This window comes from Homo sapiens, chromosome 1, assembly GCF_000001405.40.
Source record: "Homo sapiens chromosome 1, GRCh38.p14 Primary Assembly".
Taxonomy (NCBI): domain Eukaryota; kingdom Metazoa; phylum Chordata; class Mammalia; order Primates; family Hominidae; genus Homo; species Homo sapiens.
In genome coordinates, this window is record NC_000001.11 from 46,708,729 (window position 1) to 46,730,791 (window position 22,063).

At 43.7% G+C, this 22,063-nt stretch overlaps 1 protein-coding gene across 1 annotated transcript in view, besides 4 other annotated features; it reads right to left on the bottom strand.

The window, feature by feature from the left end:
* Positions 1 to 10,386, bottom strand: part of EFCAB14 (EF-hand calcium binding domain 14) — a 43,956-nt gene extending 33,570 nt beyond the window's left edge. Inside the window, exons 1-2 of the mRNA NM_014774.3 lie at positions 9,175 to 10,386; positions 7,567 to 7,715 (exon numbers count right to left, since the gene is read on the bottom strand). Of these exons, the coding sequence (NP_055589.1) occupies positions 7,567 to 7,715; positions 9,175 to 9,359 (334 nt within the window). The 5' untranslated portion in view covers positions 9,360 to 10,386. The remainder of the gene's footprint in view (positions 1 to 7,566; positions 7,716 to 9,174) is intronic.
* Positions 10,191 to 10,240: a silencer, noted in NCBI's record as "silent region_851". NCBI's record gives its function as "represses an Ori minimal core promoter by ATAC-STARR-seq in GM12878 lymphoblastoid cells {active_cell/tissue: GM12878}" and the evidence as "EXISTENCE:reporter gene assay evidence [ECO:0000049][PMID:35858748]".
* Positions 10,561 to 10,610: a silencer, noted in NCBI's record as "silent region_852". NCBI's record gives its function as "represses an Ori minimal core promoter by ATAC-STARR-seq in GM12878 lymphoblastoid cells {active_cell/tissue: GM12878}" and the evidence as "EXISTENCE:reporter gene assay evidence [ECO:0000049][PMID:35858748]".
* Positions 19,013 to 19,854: an enhancer, noted in NCBI's record as "H3K27ac-H3K4me1 hESC enhancer chr1:47193413-47194254 (GRCh37/hg19 assembly coordinates)". NCBI's record gives its function as "activates a minimal SCP1, AML or CMV promoter by ChIP-STARR-seq in naive H9 embryonic stem cells {active_cell/tissue: H9 hESC(naive)}" and the evidence as "EXISTENCE:reporter gene assay evidence [ECO:0000049][PMID:30033119]".
* Positions 19,855 to 20,696: an enhancer, noted in NCBI's record as "H3K27ac-H3K4me1 hESC enhancer chr1:47194255-47195096 (GRCh37/hg19 assembly coordinates)". NCBI's record gives its function as "activates a minimal SCP1, AML or CMV promoter by ChIP-STARR-seq in naive H9 embryonic stem cells {active_cell/tissue: H9 hESC(naive)}" and the evidence as "EXISTENCE:reporter gene assay evidence [ECO:0000049][PMID:30033119]".

Consider the following 22,063-nt stretch of genomic DNA (forward strand, 5'->3'; position numbering starts at 1 on the left):
ATGAAATAGAAGATAAAAGAATATGCTAGGTGAAGTATAGTATGATATTTGGCCTTTCTTTTGGGAAACAATAGCTCCTGAATGGTTTAGGGATTTGCCAGCCTGAAGGCAGAGGCCTGAAACAATGCTTTCTCTTCTTTCTTTAAAGAGCATTTTCCCTTTTCATAGAAAATAAAATATTAATAATGGCTGGTCCTCCAGAATAAAACCTACATCCTTTTTTTTTTTTTAAAGCCACAGACCGCCTTAGTTATTATATGCTTCCTTAAAACTAAAAACTGGCATAAAAGACCCATATAAAATAACTTCCTAAAATGTAAGCTCCAAGACTATTTTGTTCATTTCTACATGGTCAGCTACATTTTGTTCATTTGTTCATGTGCTATTTTGTTCACTTCTACACTTAGAACACTCCTGACACATTAAAATGTTAATTAAAATTAAAATTTTAAGCACTCAATCAATATTTATCACCTGAATAAATATTTCACCTTTGCTTAACTTCCAATTACATTTCTCATCACTTTACCTACCTCTTCAACCTACTTGTGGCCAAGCTGATCTTCCTGACACACTAACCTTTGAAGCCTCATGACCCTTGCACATGCTATGGTTTTTGCCTAGATGCCCTTGGCTTGTCTCTTCTTTATTTCTACCACTTTGGCCTAGTTCATTCCTTCTAAGATTCAGCACCAACAGCCAGGACACTCGGACCACTGCACCTCTTTTCACTCCAAATTCTACCATGCACTTAACACGTGGTACTGTAACTTTACTCATCGGTCTCCTCTACCAAATGGTGAGATGCTTGAGGACAAAGACTAGATCTAACTTGGGTATGCATTTCCAGCAGCCAGCACAGAGCCAGGTACTCAGAAGGGTTCAAATGCTTGTTCTGTGAAATAATTGCAGGGTATGAAATGGAGTTAATGTTATACTATTAAGTTAAACAAAAAAAACCCTCAACAAATAACCCAGGCTGGGTGCGGTGGCTCACACCTGTAATCCTAGCACTTTGGGAGGCTGAGGTGGGTGGATCACCTGAGGTGAGGAGTTTGAGACCAGCCTGGTCAACATGGCAAAACCCTGTCTCTACTAAAAATACAAAAATTAGCCAGGCGTGGTGGGGCATGCCTGTAATCCCAGTTACTCGGGAGGCTGAGGAAGGAGAATCATTTGAACCTGGGAGGTGGAGGTTGTGTTGAGCCAAGATCTTGCCACCGCACTCCAGCCTGTGCGGCCGGAGCGAGACTCCATCTCAAAAACAAACAAACAAACAAACAAAACCAAATAAAAAACCCAAACACATTTAACAAGATCCCCCACAAAATGAGGAGTGATGGTGGTATCCTTATTTTAAGCAAGCTTACTACTGAAAATTCAGAATAATTAAAAGAAATGAGATATATTTATTCATTTTCCAAAAATGTTTGCCAAAGGGCTTCATTATAATGACAGACTTCCTACATGCTTTAAAATTAAAAAAAAATTGATATATGGTAATTGTACATATTTACAGGGTACACAGCAATGTTTCCATACATGTAATGTATAGTGATCAGAGTAATTAGCATATCCATCATCTCAAACATTTATCATTTCTTTGTGTCGGGAATATTTGATATCCTCCTTATAGCTATTTGGAACTATCTAGTGTTAACTCTAGTCATGCTACAGTGGTACATAACACTAGAACTTTCTCCTCCTATCTAGCTGTAATTTTTCATCCTTTAACCAATCTCTCCCTATCCCTTCTTCCCCTATTCTTCTCAGTCTCTAGTATCCTCTGTTGTATTTTTTACTTCTATAGAATCAGATTTTTTTGAAATATATTTTTATTTTGTTTAGACATGAGATCTCTGTTACCTAGGCTGGAAGGCAGTGGCATGATCATAGCTCACTGCAGCTTCAAACTCCTGGGCTCAGGCGATCCTTCTGCCTCAGCCTCCTGAGTAGCTGGGACTACAAGCTTGTGCCACCACGCCCAGCTATTTTTAATTTTTTTAGAGATGGTGTCTTGCTATGCTTCCCTGGGCTGGTCTCAAACCCCTGGGCTCAAGTGATCCTTCTGCCTCAGCCTCCTTAGTTGTTGGGATTACAGGCGTGAGTTACCATACCCAGTGAGATAAACTTTTCTTATCTTCCACATATGAGTGAGAACATGCAGTGTTTAACTTTCCGTTCCCAGCTCATTTCACTTAACAACGTCCTTCAGTTCCATCCATATTGCTGAGAATGACAGGATTTCACTCTTTTTATGGCTGAATAGTATTCTACTGTGTATATATACTACATTTTCTTCATCCATCTGCTGTTGGACACCTAGGTTGATTCCATATATTGGCTATTGTGAATAATGCTATAATAAACATGGGGGTGTGGATGTTTCTTCCACATACTGATTTCCTTTTGCCCAGTAGTTCCCAGCAGGTGCTTTTAATGTAGCACTTGATTTACACATGGTTTACAGGAATCTATCTATCTCATACAGTAGAAACATTTTACCAGCCAGTCTAAATTCATTTCACTGAATTTCCTATACATTTTCAGTTAGGTTATAAAGAAAAACTCATCCAACAAACATCTGCCATACTCAGGTACCCCGAAGGGGCAAGGGGCGAAGTCTCTCTTTCCTGCAGTCTATACGCATGAACTAGGAGGTAGGAGTGGAAGAGGAAATAGACAAATACATAAATAACCTGGGTTACAATTATTAACTAAGAAACACATAAAGCTGACCAGCCCTGAAAATATTCTGGATCCTGAGGACTCTATGAGCCAAGAGGGGATCACAATGATTATCTGGTTTGGAGCTTTTTAGGAGAGACAAGTCAAGTAGAGGTACTTTTATTACATAAATGGGAGGAAGTGTAGCAAACAAACAACTTCTGATTACTAATTCATGTTTTTCCAACAAAGGAAGCAAACAACTTAAAATTTTGTATGTTAATGCTCAAAAGAATTTACCTAGTTCTTTTGATTTCCTAATCTTTAAGATGAGGAAATGGAAAAATGTAAACATATACCACTCAAATAGTAAACATATTGCTGACAGCAATATTTTATATTTATACAATGTCTTTCCAGTTTGCAATAAACTTTTATGTATTAATTATTCAACAACTTGTTATTAAGCCCCCACCATGTGTCCATCCCTGCACCGGCACTAGTATATACAAAAGACCCTGAAGCTCTTAGTCTAGTGGGGAGCCAGGCACGGTCACAGAATTACTATACAGTGTGACCGATGTTATGACAGAGGAATGCCCAAAGTGCTTTGGTAGCACAAATACATCTTTATGTTTTATAGATGAGAAAGTGAAGGCCCAGAAAGAATAAGTGACTTGTCTAAGTTTTACAGCTAGTTTTGCAAAGCCAGAATTCAAAAAGTCAAACCTTCTGCTCCTAGGACCAGTACTTTTTCTAGTATACTTTAGAGGTCACAGATACCTATATTCCCTAATGCCCTCGTTAGCACAAGACCATCTTTAACTTCTGTGCTAAATGACCAAGTCACTACTTTGTCTGTATGGCCAGAAAAGGAGGTGCCTGATTTATTTATACTTTTCCAAATTTCTTTTCATTTACTCAAGTCTTTCATAGTGGAGTGACAGAAAAGGATGGTTGAGAATAGAATCTTCCTTAGAATAACTGTGGAGGTTTTTTGAAGTATCTGGTTTTGGAAAAAAGAATACTGAGCTAAGAGTTTCAGGGCCAGTCAGTACTTTTAGCTTAAGGATCAAGTTTCTCTTTGACGAGAAAAAAAAAAGAAAAAAAAAGGCCAAGCCTATCTGCTTTGCTTTCTATTTCAGGTATTTTAGCAATCCTTCCTTTCCTTGCAAGTGTCTTGGAAAATTTATAGAAATAAAATCAAGAAGTTCTGGATTTCTCAAAAAGGTATTAAAGCCAGACAAGCAGGTGGTCTTATCCAAGTTCGTGAATCCCACTGTCTTCTTGAAAAACAAGAAAAAAAAATTAACCTTAAAAAATATATTTAGGCAGGGCGTGGTGGCTCAGGCCTGTAATCCCAGCACTTTGGGAGGCCGAGAAGAGTGAATTACCTGAGGTCAGGAGTTCGAGACCAGCCTGGCCAACAAGGTGAAACCCTGTCTCTACTAAAAAAAAATACAAAAAATTAGCTGCATGTGGTGGCATGCGCCTGTAATTCCCAGCTACTCAGGAGGCTGTGGTAGGAGAATCACTTGAACCTGGGAGTTAGAGGTTGCAGTGAGCCGAGATCATGCCATTGCACTCCAGCCTTGGTAACAAGAGCAAAACTCCATCTCAAAAACAACCAACCAACCAACCAAAAAAAAAAAATTTTTTTTTTAAAGTAGAAGCATAATTCAAAGAAAGATTATTTAAACCTAACAAGATTGGTTCCATTTAGTCAAGATATTGGTTCTCACAAAATAACTCCTAAGTAGTCTATGATGGTTTAGCCTATGGACTGACTACACCCCATTCCCTACCCTCCCTCAGGAAGTCCTGCTTTGCAATGTCAGGAAGACATTGCAGGTGCTGGCATTTCTATTGTAGCGAATCAAAGCCAACAAAACAGCTGGACTGACAATTCCAAATCTGCTTCATTCAGCTGGCTGACAAATGTAGTTAGGGTCCCAGGGGAATGTGGCTCAATGGTAGAAAGCAGGGTCCGCAGTCCAGGGTATAATTCTTGACATCTCCTGAAGACAATATAGTATTTCCAGGGATTGGTATTAACAAGTGTTCAATAAATATTTGTTGACTGATTGCCAGGTCTATTATATGTACAAGTACTACATTTTTAAAATGTAGTACTTTATTTGCATTCCCAAAGAAATTACCTGAAAAGCTCAGCTAAGCTATAAATTACATAAGTATCCTGTAAACACAGGTACAGAGCAGTCAGAAAAAGGAATCCCTGGATAGGTGAATTGAGCAATGTTTTGAAATATATAAATAAATAATTGCTATATGTGATCAAAACAAGCTACAGCACAAGCCTATAGCTGAACTACAAGCCTAACTAACTACAGGGCTGTAGTTAGGAGACCCAATTAACTACAGAGAGATGACGGCACAGACAGGTGTCTTCAGTGGTTACTTATGGTTGAACACTGTTTCTGAGAACCTAATTTCCAAGTTATGCTTACTACTTACAAAGGAAAAATTGGCCTCAGAGACACTGTACAATACTGCAAGGACAACTATAAAGGAGGAAAAATAAATATGGGGTATATATCTCATTGTTTCTTATATCATACTCTAAAAATTGGTAATCCAGGTTAGGATTCTGGCAGAGAATTGTGGCATACTGAATCCCCAGCCCCAGAATCAGAAACTCAGAAGAAAACCAAAGTCAGTATTTTTTTTTTAAGCAACATCACTAGAAACATCATTAACACACTAAAAATTAGCTGTTCTTAGGCTGGGTTCAAAACTTGAGTAACTGTAGGCAGCCAAGAGAAGTTGGGATATTGCAATCTTCTAGGCTTCAGATGGGAAAGTGAGGATACTGTAATCTAGGCTTAAGATCGAAAGTAAGAACTTTAATTCCAGTTCTGGAGCCAGATTTCTTTATGACCTTGAGAAAGCCTTGTGGTCAGTTTCCTGGTGTGCTCATGCTATTAAGGTTAGGGTATTTGTGATTAAGTTGAAACTGGTTCCTTTGCTTAGAAGATTAACCCTTAAACCTAGAGCCAAAAGTTTCAGTGTTGCTAAAAAAAAAAAAAAAAAAAATTCTATGTTAAATTCGGTCAAAGCTATTATGCAAACATACCTTTTGGAAAAAGTAATTTGGGCCGAGCACAATGGCTCAAAGTTGTAATTCCAGCACTTCGGGAGGCTGAGGCAGGCAGATCACTTGAGCCCAGGAGTTCGAGACCAGTCTGGGCAACATAGCAAAACCCTGTCTTTTACAAACATACAAAAATTAGCAGAGGGTGGCGCGTGCCTGTAGTTTCAGCTATTGGGATTGGGGGTGTGGGGTGCTGACACGGGAAGACTGCTTGAGCCCATGAAGTCAAGGCTGCAACGAGCCAGATGCCACTGCACTCCAGCTTGGGTGACAGAGCAAGCAAGACCTTATCTCAAAAAAAAAAAAAAACAAGAAAGAAAAAGAAATGAAAAAGTAATTTGGATGTGTAAAATATAACTTTACAATTTAGAATATACAAAACTCTGTGACTTCAAAACCTCCTTAAACTTTAAAACTCACTCATGAGATAAACATTTCTGACAGTTGCACAGTGTTCAAAGTAGGTATGGTTGTTGTAAGCCCTTCACGAGTATGTAACTTAGTTCAAGTTTCCTAAAACTTTAAAATGATAACACTCATTAATGGTATTTAAATGTTTTTTTCTTGAAAGAGATCGTGTTACTAGTATAAGCACAGCTAAGGAGAGAAATCTATCAGTCCTTGCTCTAAGCTTGAAAACTGATAAGTATGCAGAAAACCAGTTCTTCCTGTTTCTTCTACTAAACTTCTTTTAGATTACTGACCAAGTTGATATCAAAGAGATCTGTAGGCACTTGAAGAAATGTGCATAGGCTTACAAGGCCACCAGGAACAGTGGTGCAGACAGTAGTGTTATAAATGTGAATTTGGGCAGCAAGGGGCAAGAGGACGCTCAGCTCTGTCATACTTAATCACTGAACAAATTACTTAATCCTTCTAAGAGCACAAAATAATAAAAATAATACCCATCTCACCGGATTATTTTGTAAAGAAAATGATTTGAGACTTGGCACAGAGTAGGCCTTCCACAAATGTTAGCTACTCTTATTATTGCCCATTCCTATGCTCCTATTCAGTCCTTCTAAAGAGGCAATCGTTTGACAGATGCTCCCACATTCTTTCTCAAATGGCCCTGTGAGGTGGAAGGAATAGCCCAGTGTTGTCATTGCCACTTTATGCTTGGGGAGATGCAAGCCATAAGTAGAGGTTACACCAAGTTCTAGACTCCTACCCCTAGGGTAGGAGTCTCTTGCCTTTTGCACGCTAAGCATTGACTGCAATGCCATTATTTCAGATGCTACTTGTCCTGCTGGTGCATAAGCACTGCCTTTTATTTGTGAGTTTAAAAACAAATAAGTGTTACAACATTCAAGCAGAGAGCTCAAAAAGAGTATAAAAATACTGAGAGGAACGTATAATTGCTTCACTAGAATGGGCAAAAATCTTCGTTCAGCAGGGTTGACTTTGTCCCAGAACCTGGAAAGGAGTCCAGGATTACACCCTGAAAAGAGTGACCACTGCTGGGTGTGGTGGCTCACGCCTGTAATCCTGGCACTTTGGGAGGCCGAGGTAGGTGGACCACCTGAGGTCAGTAGTTTGAGACCAGCCTGGCCAACATGGTGAAACCCCGTCTCTACTAAAAAGACAAAAAAATTAGCTGGGTGTGGTGGCACACACCTGTAATCCCAGTTACTCAGAAGGCTGACCATGAGAATCACTTGAACCTGGGTGGCGGATGTTGCAGTGAGCCGAGATTGCGCCACTGTACTCCAGCCTAGGCGACAGAGCAAGACCCTGTCTCAAAAAAAAAAAAAAAAAAAAAAAAAAGAGAGTAACCACTTACTTACTTGTTCGAAATTTTTCCTTGAGGGCATCCAGATCCTCCTTGAGAGCAACCTGCATCCACACCAAGCCAACACAGGCCACAACACAGGCAGCAAGGATGACAAAACCACAGAGCGGATAACAGATCTTGCAGCATCGTAAATAGTCTCCCCTGCTCAAGAGGACAAATTCAACCATGAGTACAAAAGTGATTATGGGTATAGCTTTATTAGCAATAGTACACGTTTTGCCATGCAATTATCTCCTTTAAATGAATAACCAGTGAATTAACCAGGGGAGGCAGGGTAAAGCACTTAAATGAATAAATAATATGACCTATTAAGGGTTCATCTACTGGATACAAAGGTTTCAAATGTCACATAAAACAGAAGGAGTTCCTGCAGGTAAAAGGAAGAACCTAAAGGCACTGCAGCTGTCATTATCAGGAGGGAGGTCTTTGAATACAAGCTCAGGTCACAAAAGTGTAAAGACCAATGTTTCTCTGCAATTCCATCTCTGCACTGGAATTTGCCTATTGATTTCTCTCTGAAATACATACTCACTCCGGGGAACCTTGCTCCAGTTTACTGAAACTTTATAAACTTTTGAGCAAGTTTTACTGCAAAAGAAATGAAAGAAACAGGATCTGTAGTTTTAAGTGGACACCTGGTGTATTCTAGCTTATTGGCTCAGAAGTAAGGAAACATAGAAGGGGCTGGATTTCACACAAAACATCAACCAACCTTCAAGGTCTAAACTAACTTAGTAGGGTTACTACTCCAGGTACCTTCTGATGAAGGTAACACTTCAACTGATCTTCATAACCCAAACCCAGGATTGCCCTTAACAGCCTTAGCTGACAAAGCTCATTAGAAATCAAACTCTTCCTTTAACAAAACAAGACATTTTAAACCAACCAACCACTCAATGTCAGCACCCCGACCTTCTGCCTAGCCATTGTTTCTACATCCTCAGCAGAATCCTCTTTTCTTTTAGTGTGCTCTGAGAGAGTCAAAGGACGTTTTTGAAGTTCCCTTTAGTCCTTTCCCATCCTGAGCCCCAATCCCAATGTCCTCAAATCTTACTACTTGATTTGCCTAGTGGTCTCTCCACCTATGAATGGCTAGGGAAAATGATGCCTCTTCTTTTGCCCCCCGACCCCACCTACTCTCAAGGCTCATACTTCCTACAGTATATCTCTCACCATATTTCCCCACCACCAATATTCAGACTCATCAAGAGTGCAAAAACGAAATAATCTGCAGTCTTAAAGTCTCTGCTTCTCCTTTGTTCTACACTGTTTTAAAAAGTCTAGTCCCCAAAGCTTCTCTGCTCCTCTGTCTCCATTCTTTGCTTCTTTAGGACTCCCTGGGCTCTTGGCACATTCTCCAAGTCCACATTTCCACCTCAGATTTGGAGCTTTTCTTTCTACACCTAAAGACAGATCTCTAACTTATTCTTCATTCAGGATCTGAACTTACCTTCTCCCTAAAACCGTTTTTCCCTCTTTGACTTCCAAGGCCTACACCCTTTTTTCTTCCTAAGGACTTCCTTTCTCCTTCCTGTCAATGTGGCCCCTTGGTAGTGCAAGGAGATGCCTTCTTCCCATTCCACCTTTCACCACTACTCACTTGGCAAAGCGAGAGCGATTTCCAACCACACCGAATTCCTCTTCCTCTTCGGAGCTGGACTCAGAGTCTGAGTCGGGAGGCTCAGTGCGAAGCAGGCGGTGACTGCTTGGGCCTTTCTTGGGCTTCTTTCTCCGGCTGTCCCCAGCCAAACCAATCAATGCATTGAGCTCTTTGCGCTTTTTCATCTTTTTGTGTGGGGTGAGTGGAGCCCCGACTCCTGAGCTGCCAGGTTCGTACCCGATGCCCAATTCTCTTCCTGCCTTGGAGCTGCCTTCCAGGGTTGGGAATCCTGGGCCAGAGCCCCCTGGTCACTCCCACCTAGGGGTGGGACTGACCAGATCCGCCAGGGACTGGAGATTGGAGCCCAGAGGAAACTGGAACTCAGATGGGTGGGGGAAATCACATAGAAATGGCCAAGGAGCTGGTGACCCCAAAGGATAAGGCCTTGGGTGCAGAGTGTTAGTAGAGGGTGGAGAGGGACCTTTATCTCCCAAAGGGCGAAAAAAAAGCCAGGTCAAAAATGAAGGATTCTCAGCCCGGATAAGTAGGCAATACTTCTAAGGGTGCTCCAGGAGGTGAGGAAGGGCACGCTTAAAATACGTGTTTCGGACCTCCGGAGCAAGATTTCCAATGGAGAGGGAAGAGAAACTCGTTCTTGAATGGGAAGAGAGTGGGGAGGTGCAGAGTAAGAAAGTGGGAACGCGTCAGTCCCTTCCTTGCAGGAGAGGTGGCGGCAGGAGGGGGCTCCCAGCAGCTACAATCCCAACACTGCTTGGCCGCAGAGAAAATGCCCTGGCCAGGAAGCCGGCTGGGGTGTGTGATGATCACCGTTCTCCGGCCTCCGTCCTGAACGTGAAGGGGGCCCGAGGCCGAGGAAGATCCGGAGCCCGGCTAGAAGGGTCGGCCTGAGAGAAGCCAGTCCCGCGCCTGATAGACCCCCGCCCCGCTGTCTGGGCCTTGGGGACACGGTGCCGCGGGCGACGGCGGCTCGGCCGACCGAAAGCGCTCCCGCCCGGAGTTTGAGGTCTCCGGCACGGGCAACTCTCGGCCACTCACACGCGCAGGCCCCACTCCAGCCGCGACTCCGGCCCCTGCTCCGGCTTCGGCCGCGGCTGCTCCCGACACGTTGTTGTTGGCGTTGGTGGCGGCGGCTGCGGCGGCGGCGGCCGCGAGCTCCAGCCCCGGGCCATCGCTCCAGCCCCAGATCACTTCCCCTTTGGCAGCGGCCGCCTGCGCCGCCTGCCAGTAAGCCGCACTCCCATTGGTCGCCCGCTGGGGTGACGTCACGCCGGGGCGAAAGTCGTGGCGGAGAGGTGGGGCGTTAAAGGGGCCCTGCCCCGGCTGGGGCTGGGTCCCACCTGCCGATTAGGGTGGCCCCGCCCCCAGGAGGGCTTCCGGGACCTGCTGCGAACCTGAGCCGGGTGGAGTCCTGCATCCTGCGGAGCGCGGGCGGGGCAGGCAAAGCGCCCGGCTGCTCGACCTACTTCGAAAGTTCATCAGCCGCCCACGCCCCCTGGACTAACCAAGTCTGAAGGCTCCGCCTCTCTGACTCTCACACAGGCTGTTAAAAGTTTAGGCGCGTTTCAGATTAATTAACACATTCATTCAGTCAATAAATATTTATTGAGAGCTTACTTACTACGTGTCAGGAGCTGTTCTAGCGCTGGGGATACAGCCATGAACAAAATAACCAGGGTCCTTGTCTTCCTGTATAGTGTTGCCAGATTTAGCAAATAAAAATGTAGGACACCCAGTAAAGTTTGAATTTCAGAGAAACAGCAAACAATTTTTTAGCATTAAGACATCCCATGCAACATCTGGGACATCCTCACACTAAAAAATTATTCATTGTGTATGTGAAATGCAAGTTTAACTGAGCATCGTGTATCTTATCTGCCAATCTATTCCTGCAGTTTATTTATACTCTAGAGGGAGGAGAGCAACAATAGGCAAACATATTAAATGTCAGGAGGTGATAAGTGTTATGATGAAAATTGAAACACGGTCAGGTGATGGGGAGTGCCTCTGTGAAAAGGGAACATTTAGTCAGCTTATCGGAGGAGAGGTGAGGGAATGAGCTGTGCAGTGGCTGCAGGAAGGAGTGACCAGGAAGACCTGTTGTGGCTGGACCAGAAGAGCAAGGAGCAGAGTGATAGGAAATGAGGTCAGAGAAGCATCAGAGGCCAGGGCTTTAGGGCCTTATGGATCACTGAAAGGACTTTGGGAAAGCACTGGGGGCTTTAAGCTGAGAGGTAGCATACTCTGGCTTTTCCGTAAAAAAAAAAAAAAAAAAAAAAATTCACTCTGGGCCAGCGCGATGGCTCACGCCTGTAATCCCAGCATTTTGGGAGGCTGAGGTGGGCGGATCACAAGGTCAGGAGATGGAGACCATCCTGGCCAATATGGTGAAACCTTGTCTCTATTAAAAATACAAAAATTACCTGGGCGTGGTGGTGCGCGCTTGTAATCCCAGCTACTTGGGAGGCTGAGGCAAGAGAATGGCTTGAAACCGGGAGGCGGAGGTTGCAACAAGCCGAGATTGCACCACTGCACTTCAGTCTGGCAACAGAGCGAGACTCCGTCTCAAAAATAAATAAATAAATAAATAAATAAATAAATAAATAAATAAATAAATAAATAAAATAAAATAAAATAAAGGAAAAAATTACTCTGGCTACTTTGTAGAAAAAAGTGGGGGGAGAGTGAGGAACACAGGAGAGCAGTTTGTTACAGTCCAGCTAGAGATGATGCTGATAGATTAGAGAGGCAGTAGCAGAGATGGAGAGCATTCTGGATGTTTCTTGAAGACAGAGCTGACAATTTTTGCTGATAGATTAGATGAAAGGTGTGAAGAGAAGAGAGGGTTTGGCGGTGGAAACACTGGAAGCAAGGAATTGTTATTTATTGAGATGGGGTAGAGCAAGTTTGGGACAAGTTTGACAAGCCAATTCAATATTCAAATGGAGGCTGTTTGGTATACCCATTGAGAGTTCTCTGGGCACAGGTTGGGGCCTGAAATATCAATTGGGAAGTCATCAGATATAAATGGAATTTAAAGCAAAGTGCTTTGAGCTACTTGGAAGAAAGTCACTTAAAGTAATTTTTATGCCCATATTCTTACTGTGGCAATTACGCTGCTTTTGTCCAAGGATTCTCGCAAAGCCTGGGCCTGTATCTGATTTGTTTTTAAGTGTCTAGCCCAGAAGTGTACTCCTAAATAACGATGACCCAATAAATATGTGATGACTACATAAGTGGGCAGTGTTGCAAAGAGGTATGAGTGGACTTTTGGAATCAAAATCAAGAAACCTGGGACTCAATCATGTCTCTACTTCTTCCTGGCTCCATCAGCATGGAAGCCGTTTAGTTTCTCTGAGCTTCAGTTTTCTCCTCTGTAAAATGGGGATAAACACCTATTTCACAGGACAATGAGATGAATGTGAAAGTGTTTTTGAAGCCCCAAGTCATGGTGTATTGTCCCCTTTTGTTTCTAGAGCTTCATTGCCCAATACAGTAGCCAAACTGGCCACATATAACAATTTAAATCTACATTTAACATAATTAAAACAAAATACAAATTTTAAATTGGTTCTTCAGTATCATTGGCCACAGTGTCCAGTAGCCATATGTGGCAAGTGGCTACCAGGCAGCAAGTAATAGTACAATTCCACCACCACAGAAAGTTTTACTGGAGAGTTCTTCACTAATGCTTCCCTGAAGGACTGGGGATAGACAGGTGAGGCTCCTGACTTCAAGAACCATTTCTGAAACACATCCTGTGGTCACCAGAAGCCCCAGGCAGGAGAGGTGGCTGGCCCGAGGGTGGGGTGGCCCTCCTTTGTTGTAGATGATACAGGTTCCCAGGGAACCAGGGACTGAGGAACCCAGGGGAGTGGGGCAGGGCTGAGGACATACCACCCCCGCTGCAGGGACTTCTGGTCAGCCAGAGCCTGTGCTCTCTGTGGGTGGAGATCTCTCCCATGACTGGCCAGTGGGCTGGTCATGGGTGGGGAGGCTGCAGGAGTAGAATTGACAAACAGGGGAATGCTTCTGCTGGATCTGCCTCTCAGTCCTTCTGTCTGCCTGTTTGCTTATGATCTGTAGATAACACCCCTCCTTGTTGGGTAGACATCACACAGGATGCTGTCACCCTTTGAAAGTTACTGGCCAGCTGTTTCTTTTCCTTCAGGAGCTCTTGGATACCTCTCTGGCCTCCTTCCTCAGACCCGGGACCCTCAAGGCCAGGGATTAAGCCACCCCACTCAGAGTGGGGCCTCCTGCTGCCCTCCCACACCAGGACTCCCAAGGTTGTGATCCATCTTCTCCTTTGGGGTTGTTCATATTATGATCCTGGGGAGTCTGTTAACCTACTCAAAACTTGCCTGAAATGCAGTGAGTTTGGGGAAGTCACTTTAGAGTTCTGGCGCTTCAAAGTTTCTGTCTGTGATATGGGGATGATAATATTCCTAGCCCAGTCTTCTGCTTCATGTTGTTTGGGGCAGGGAGTAGCATGGGCGTGCTTTACATGCTGTGAAGTGTCATGCAGAGTGGGTACATGTCTGCTGAATGCTTCTGGCAACTCTATGGGGAAGGTAGGCAAAGATGATTTCCCTGTGCTCAAAATCACAGCCCATATAACTGGCAAAGCCAAATCTTGAGACCCTGTGCTACTTTGGAAGACTCCATAGAGTGCTTTCACTTGGGCAAGCTGAGGCACAGAGTAGGGGCAAACTTGCCAAGGTCATAGTCAAAAATTGGATCCAGCTCTCCTAATTCCTGGGCTGAAAGCTCTTTAAGATCTTGGAGTCCTCTCTTACCTGGGATCTAAGTCTGTGTCTGAACATTGCCACTTGGCAGCTGTGTGATCCTGGACAAAGTACTGAGCCTCTCTGAGCCTCAGTGTCCACTATGATTGCCACCTCAGTGAAATAGAGGCAATCATAGTACCCAGGACTGGCTACATAATTTATGAGGACCAGTGCAAATGCAAATGCAGGGTTCCTTTTCTCTCTCTGCTGTCTCTCTCAACCTGTCTTCCTGTTTATTATTCACTATTTAATGTTGTATTCCCTTAGGCCTGGTGATACAAGGTGAGTGTAGACCCTCACATGAGACAGGCAAGAGGCCTGTTTCATGACTTGGCATGCAAACTCTCTCTTCCTCTCCCTGTGCCGACACCCAGGCCCCTGCCTGGGATGGAGTTGTGGTGGCAATAGGGATGTGGGGTGTTTAGGGGAACAGACAGCTGAGAACCCATCTCAGGGAGGAGGAGGTGGGGAGGTGACAGGAGGCAGGACCGTGTATGAACCAAGGCTCCAAATAACCAGTGTGTGCTCCACTGCTCCACCCAACTTTTCTTATAAGACACAAATTAAAAGATAGAATGATTAAGAATTTCAAGGTGGTGACCACAGGAAATTAAACCCCAAGTGCATGGCACCCTTCTGAGTGGGGGGCCCTGTGCAGCTACTCTGGTCATACACCCATGAAATTAACCCTGGAGTACTTAACTCACAGAGTATCTGTGCAGAAGTGATGTGTCTGACACATAGTAAGTACTCAATAAATGTCAGCTGTTCCATTAATGTGATTATAAATTACTAAATGGGATTTATTATAGATTTGTTCAATGTGATTTTTCAGATAACCCAGTTGTGGGAAAACATCTTCATTTACTGAAGAGAAAGCACTGCTTCCACTTGTCACAAGAGTCCTCTTTGACATAATCTTTTTTGATACTTTGCTATGGCTGAGGTGGGGGGAAGGAACAGAAATGAACATTTAAAAATATTTAGGTATCATGCATTTTTGTGTTACTCCTCAATGCAATAAGTCATTCTTCACTAAGCAAGCATCTTATTCTTCCTCTAACCAAGAAGGAAATTGTTGCTCAGAGATCAAAAGAGACTTGCCCAGGGACACACAGTATGTCAGCGGCAGATACTGGGGCTTGAATCTGGATCTCTCTGCCTCTGAAGCCTGAGTTCTGCACCCAGTGCCCAGTGCCATGCTGGCAGAGCCTGCTGCCTGGGGTCTTTGTCAGCAGCTCTTCTGAAAGGGACCACCAGCTGAAGCCTCTCAACTTTCCTGGGATCTACTTCTCCCAGCCCCTTCCCATTCTTTTTGCTGCTGTGCCGGCAGCTGCATCCTGTACCCTGATGAGGGGCCTGAGGACAATGGGAAGGGGAAGGATTGGGTGGTAGGAAAGGCGCCAAGCACCAAGCTAAACAATGGCTTCTCTGCCGGTGGGGCCCAAACAGCCGGAAGCAGCAACTGGTTCACAGCATTATTGTGGGCAGGGGTGAGGACTGCCCCTCCTGAGATTCTCCTTCTATTCCAGGCACATCCTCTTCTGAATTGCTGCAAACTTTTGTGTCTCTGCCAAGTAGTGGTCTCAGTTTCCCCATTTATGTGTCTTTAGCATCCAAAACAGGGCCTAGTGCTCGGGAAGGGATGGGAATCTTCTGGGCCCGTTTGCTGAATTAAAAGATGAGACGCTAAAGACTCTAAAGAGTTCCCAGGCATTGCCCTTCATCTTGATGATCCTATTTATCCATCCATCCATCCATCAAACCCACCCTGGGTGAGCCCCTACTGTGTGTGAGGTCCTGGAGAACATCAGTAATAGTCAGGTTCTGCCCTACAAGAGTTCCCAGGAAGCAGGCGATGCTGTCTCCCCCTATGCCCCATGCCCCCCACCCTGTAAATGTCATAGAAAGGTTTATAGTGGGGGTGGGGTGGGGGGAGGAGAAGCAAGCCTGGAGTAACTAGCTTTATTTTAGGGTGATAATAAAAATCCTGGGAGTAAAGAATCTGTACTGTGACCTCCCACCCTCCTGCCCATGCCTCCACTCCTGTCCCTTTCCCTGGGGCTTGAGCTGGAGTGGAGGCTGCAGCTGGCTATGGAGGGAGCCCAAGGCCAGCACCCCTGGGTTTGAATCTGAGCCTCTCCACTCACTAGCTGTGTGACCTTAGACCAGTTCCTTTTCCTCTCTGAGTCTGTTCCTCACCTGCAAATTGGACCTAACAGTGCTGACCTCCTGGCAGTTCCTGTGGTAAGAATGAAATTTAAATGGTGAACGTTAAAAGCCTTCAGGGGAATTGCTAAGTGCACTGAGTGGACAGGGAGGCTGGGAATGGAACCTCTGAGGAATCCATTTGACCTAGAAAGCCTAAACAGCACAGGCTGGGAGAGAAGGTGATTGCATCATGAAGGCAGGGCTCTTCTGACTGAGGAGGGGTCTGTGTGCATGTGTGTGTGTGTGCACGTGGACCTGTGCTCCTACTATCAAGGCTGGGTGTTTGTGGATGGAATACACAGTAGGACATGCTGAGTCAGCAAGGCCGTGTGAGAGACCCCCTAGAGAAGGCTGCCTGGGCCCTCCTGAGTTCTCTTCTGAGGGAATAACACTGGCTCTGTGTTTCTAAGTCTAGCTGCAGCTCCAGTTCCATCTGCTACCAGCCCCTCTCTACTTAAGACTGGCACTACGGAGGTGAAAAGAGAGGCACAGCTTTGTGCTGCCCTCTGCTGGTTTCTTGGACACTGTGCTTCTTAGATGGGGACAATTTCCATGCACCCAACTCACCTTCGTTAATCCCTGTGTTGGATGGTGGGGACACACAGATGAGGTCCATTTCTGCTGTGTGTGTGTGCGTGTGCGTGTGTGTGTGTGTGTGTGTGAGAGAGAGAGGAACAAAGTGTGATCAACAATATGATACAAGATGCAGAAAAGATAGGAATAGCGTGAAGGAAAGTTTTCAAAAGGTAATGATCCTTTATTCATTCATTCATTCATTCATCTGTCAAATATGTATTGTATTCCAAGACCTAACCTTTGTGCTGGAGCTATAACATGGAACAAAATACACAAAATTCCTGCCTGCATGGACCTTACCTTCTAATGAAAAGAAACAATTCGTAAGTAAGACAGATAGGTAAATTGATAGTGTTGGTTGATGAGTACTATGGAGAAAAATGAAGCAGGAATGGAGGACAGGGAGAATTGTTGGGATGATTGCCAACTCTTGTGTAACATTTGAGTAAAGACCCAAAGGAGAGGAACTTTATCTTCTGAACGTGACTGAGTAACTGGCATTGGACTTTCTGGCCTGCATAAATAACTAGACAACTGGATAAGTGTATGAAACAACTATTTAGACAACGGACAATAGTTAGCATGGAACTATGATCCCTGAGAGAAGGAAAACAAGCAAAGTGAGCCTGAAGACAACCCTAGCTTTCTGTTTGAAGGCACTTTTGGGCAGAGCAGGGAGGGGAAATCCAAGTAGATCACAGGGGTCTTTTTGTGTTGAAGTTAGAGATCTTGACATTAGGAGGGTCTGTGGCACTATAATTTCCAGGGAAGAGTACCAGAGAGGAAGAAGCTACTCAGAAAAAGAGCTTCAGAAATCTGTATAGAGGTCTCCCTTGAGTCCTTGTCTAAATACTCATGAGTATTTATATGCATGAGTTGTGCATGCATATAATAAAACTCCATAAGTGTGGGCAAATGAAAACTACTGGGGAGCTATAAGCTGAACAATTTTCAGAGTTCAGACAGGGCTGAGAGACATTCATGTTACAGTTGGAGAGTGAAGAGAACTTATCGGACACCCACAACATTCAGTAGAGGCCTCAAAAGGGTCTTGGTAGTAGGGCTAAACTAGCCCTAAAGTCTACTTTAGCACCATCCTAATAAGTCTTAAACACAAGCCTTACAAGGAACAAGCTGATGATCAAGTAAGTTAACTCCTACCAAAACAAAACAAAATTCAACATTATTGAAAGGAAGGAAACAAAAATTCAGACCCTCAACAACAGAATATTCACAATGTCCAACATCCAATAAAATTAGATACGTAAAAAAGCAGGAAAATATGACCTATAACCAGGAGAAAAATCACTCTATAGAAATAGACTCAGAAATGACAGGAATGATGGAATTAGCAGACACAGATTTTGAAGCAACTGTTCTAAATATACATTAAAAGATTTAAATGAAAACATAAACTTAATGAGGAAAGAAGTGGAAGTTATCAAATGGAACTTTTAGATTTAAAAGTATAATATCTGAACTAAAAATGCACCATATAGTTCAACAGCAGATTATATAGTATATATAGCATATGGTGTATATATAGCAGTTATATACTAAAGAAGAAAAGATCAATGAACTCGAAGACATAGCAATAGAAAACTCAGAAAGGTTAAGGGCAGAAAAATATTTAAAGAAATAATAGTCCAAAGTTTCCAAACTTGAAGATCAAAAACAGTTGTCTCAAGAAGCTCAACAAATCCTAAACAGGATATACACACAGAAAACCATACCAAGGTACATTGTAATCAATGTACCAAAAGACAAATGATAAAGATAAGACATTAAAAGGAGACAGAAAAGAAGACATATATACAAGGGAATAAAGATAAGAATGATCATTGATTTATCATTGACCAAAAGACAATGGGATAATAACTTTAAGGAGCTGAAAGAAAAAAAAAGTCAAACTAGAATTCTACATCCAGTGACAATATTCTTCAAAATGAAGGTAAAATAAAGACATTTTCAGAGTATATACCCAAAGGAATAGAAATTGTTCTATCATAAAGGCACATGCATGCATATGTTCATTGCAGTACTATTCATAATAGCAAGGAGATGGAATCAACCTAAATGCCTATCAGTGGTAGACTGGATAAAGAAAATGTGGTACATATACACCATGGGATACTATGCAGCCATAAAAAACGAGATCATGTCTTTTGCAGAAACATGATGGAGCTGGAGGCCATTATCCTTAGCAAATGAATGCAGGAACAGAAAACCAAATACTGCATGCTGCTCACTTATAAGTGGGAACTTAAAGTTGAGAACACATGGACACATAGAGGGGAACAACAGACACTGGACTACTGGAGAGTGGAGAGTGGGAGGAGGGAGAGGATCAGGAAAAATAACTAATGGGTACTAGACTTAATATTATACTTTATTAATAATCTATACAGCAACCCCCCATGACATGGGTTTACCTATATAACAAACCTGCACATATACCCCTGAACTTAAAATAAAAGTTAAAAAAGAAAAAAATAAAAAAATTAACCCCATTTACAATAGCCACATGTAAAATTAAATACCTGGTGGCTGGCAAGATGGCTGAATAGAAACAGCTCCGGTCTGCATCTCCCAGTGAGATCAACGCAAAAGGTGGGTGATTTCTGCATTTCCAACTGAGGTACCCAGCTCATCTCACTGGGACTGGTTAGAAAGTGGGTGCAGCCCACAAAGGGCCAGCTGAAGCAGGGTGGGGTGTCGCCTCACCTGGGAAGTGCAAGGGGTCAAGGAACTCCCTCCCTTAGCTAAGGGAATCCATGAGGGACAGTGCCATGAGGAATGGTGCATTCCAACCCATGGTTTTTTCCATGGTCTTCACAACCTACAGACCAGGAGATTCCCTAGGGTGCCTATGCCACCAGGGCCCTGGGTTTCAAGCACAAAACTGGGTGGCCAATTGGGCAGATACCAAGTTAGCTGCAGGAGTTTTTTGTTTTTTTTTTTTCATACCCCAGTGGTGCCTGGAATGCCAGTGAGACAGAACCATTTACTCCCCTGGAAGGGAGACTGAAGCCAGGGAGCCAAGTGGTCTAGCTTAGCAGATCCCCCACGGAGCCCAGTGAGCTAAGATCCACTGGCTTAAAATTCTCACTGCCAGCACAGCAGTCTGAAGTCCACCTGGGACACTCAAGCTTGGTGGGGGAGGGGCGTCCGCCATTACTGAGGCTTGAGTAGGCGGTTTTCCCCTCACAGTGTAAACAAAGCCTCAGGGAAGTTCGAACTGCATGGAGCCCACCACAGCTTGGCAAAGCCACTGTAGCCAGACTGCGTCTCTAGATTCTTCCTCTCCAGGCAGGGCATCTCTGAAAAAAAGGCAGCAGCCCCAGTTAGGGGCTTATAGATCAAACTCCCATCTCCCTGGGACAGAGCACCTGGGGGAAGGAGTGGCTGTGGGCGCAGCTTCAGCAGACTTAAACTTTCTGCCTGCTGGCTCTGCAGAGAGCAGCGGATCTCCCAGCACAGTGCTCGAGTTCTCCTAAGGGACAGACTGCCTCCTCAAGTGGGTCCCTGACCCCCGTGCCACCTGACTGGGAGACACCTCCCAGCAGGGGTCGACAGATACCTCATACAGGAGAGCTCCAGCTGGCATCTGGTGGGTGCCCTTCTGGGATGAAGCTTCCAGAGGAAGGAACAGACAGCAATCTTTGCTGTTATGCAGCCTCTGCTGGTGATACCCAGGCAAAAAGGGTCTGGAGTGGACCTTCAGCAAACTCCAGCAGACGTGCAGCAGAGAGGCCTGTTAGAAGGAAAACTGATAAACAGAAAGGAATAGCATCAACATCAACAAAAAGGACGTCCACTCAGAGACCCCATGTGAAGGTCACCAACATCAAAGACCAAAGGTAGATAAATCCATGAAGATGAGGAAAAACCAGCGCAAAAAGACAGAAAATTCCCAAAACCAGAATGCCTCTTCTCCTCCAAAGGATCAGAACTCCTTGCCAGCAAGGTAACAAAACTGGACGGAGAATGAGTTTGACGAATTCACAGAAGTAGGCTTCAGGTCGTGGGTAATAACAAACTCCTCCGAGCTAAAGGAGCATGTTCTAACCCAACATAAGGAAGCTAAGAACCTTGAAAACAATTAGAGGAATTGCTAACTAGAATAACCAGTTTAGAGAAGAACATAAATGACCTGATGGAGCTGAAAAACTCAGCATGAGAACTTCGTGAAGCATACACAAGTATCAACAGCTGAATTGATCAAGTGGAAGAAAGGATATCAGAGATTGAAGATCAACTTACTGAAATAAAACATGAAGACAAGATTAGAGAAAAAAGAATGAAAAGGAACAAACAAAACATCCAAGAAATATGTGACTATGTGAAGAGACCAAACCTATGTTTGATTGGTGTACCTGAAAGTTATGGGGAGAATGGAACCAAGTTGGAAAACACTCTTCAGGATATTATCCAGGAGAACTTCCCCAACCTAGCAAGACAGGCCAACATTCAAATTCAGGAAATATAGAGAACAACACAAAGATACTCCTCAAGAAGAGCGACCCCAAGACTAATCGTCAGATTCACCAAGGTTGAAATGAAGGAAAAATGTTAAACGCAGCCAGAGAGAAAGGTCCGGTTACCCACAAAGGGAAGCCCATCAGACTAACAGCAGATCTCTCTGCAGAAACCCTACAGGCCAGAAGAGAGTGGGGGCCAATATTCAATATTCTTAAAAGAATTTTCAACTCAGAAATTCCATATCCAGCCAAACTAAACTTCACAAGCGAAGGAGAAATAAAAACCTTTACAGACAGGCAAATGCTGAGAGATTTTGTCACCACCAGGCCTGCCTGACAAGCGCTCCTGTAGGAAGCACTAAATATGGACATGAAAAAACCAGTACCAGCCACTGCAAAAACATACCAAATTGTAAAGACCATCGACAGTATGAAGAAACTGCATCAACTAATGGGCAAAATAACCAGCTAGCATCATAATGACAGGATCAAATTTACACATAACGATATTAACCTTAAATGTAAATGGGCTAAATGCCCCAATTAAAAGACACAGACTGGCAAATTGGATAAAGAGTCAAGACTCATCTCATGTGCAAAGACACACATAGGCTCAAAATAAAGGGATGGAGGAATATTTACCAAGCAAATGGAAAGCAAAAAAAAAAAAAAAAAAAAAAAAAAAAAAAAGCAGAGGTTGCAATCCTAGTCTGATAAAACAGACTTTAAACCAACAAAGATCAAAAAAGACAAAGAATCAAAGAAGGGCGTTACATGATGGTAAAGGGATCAAGGCAACAAGAAGGGCTAACT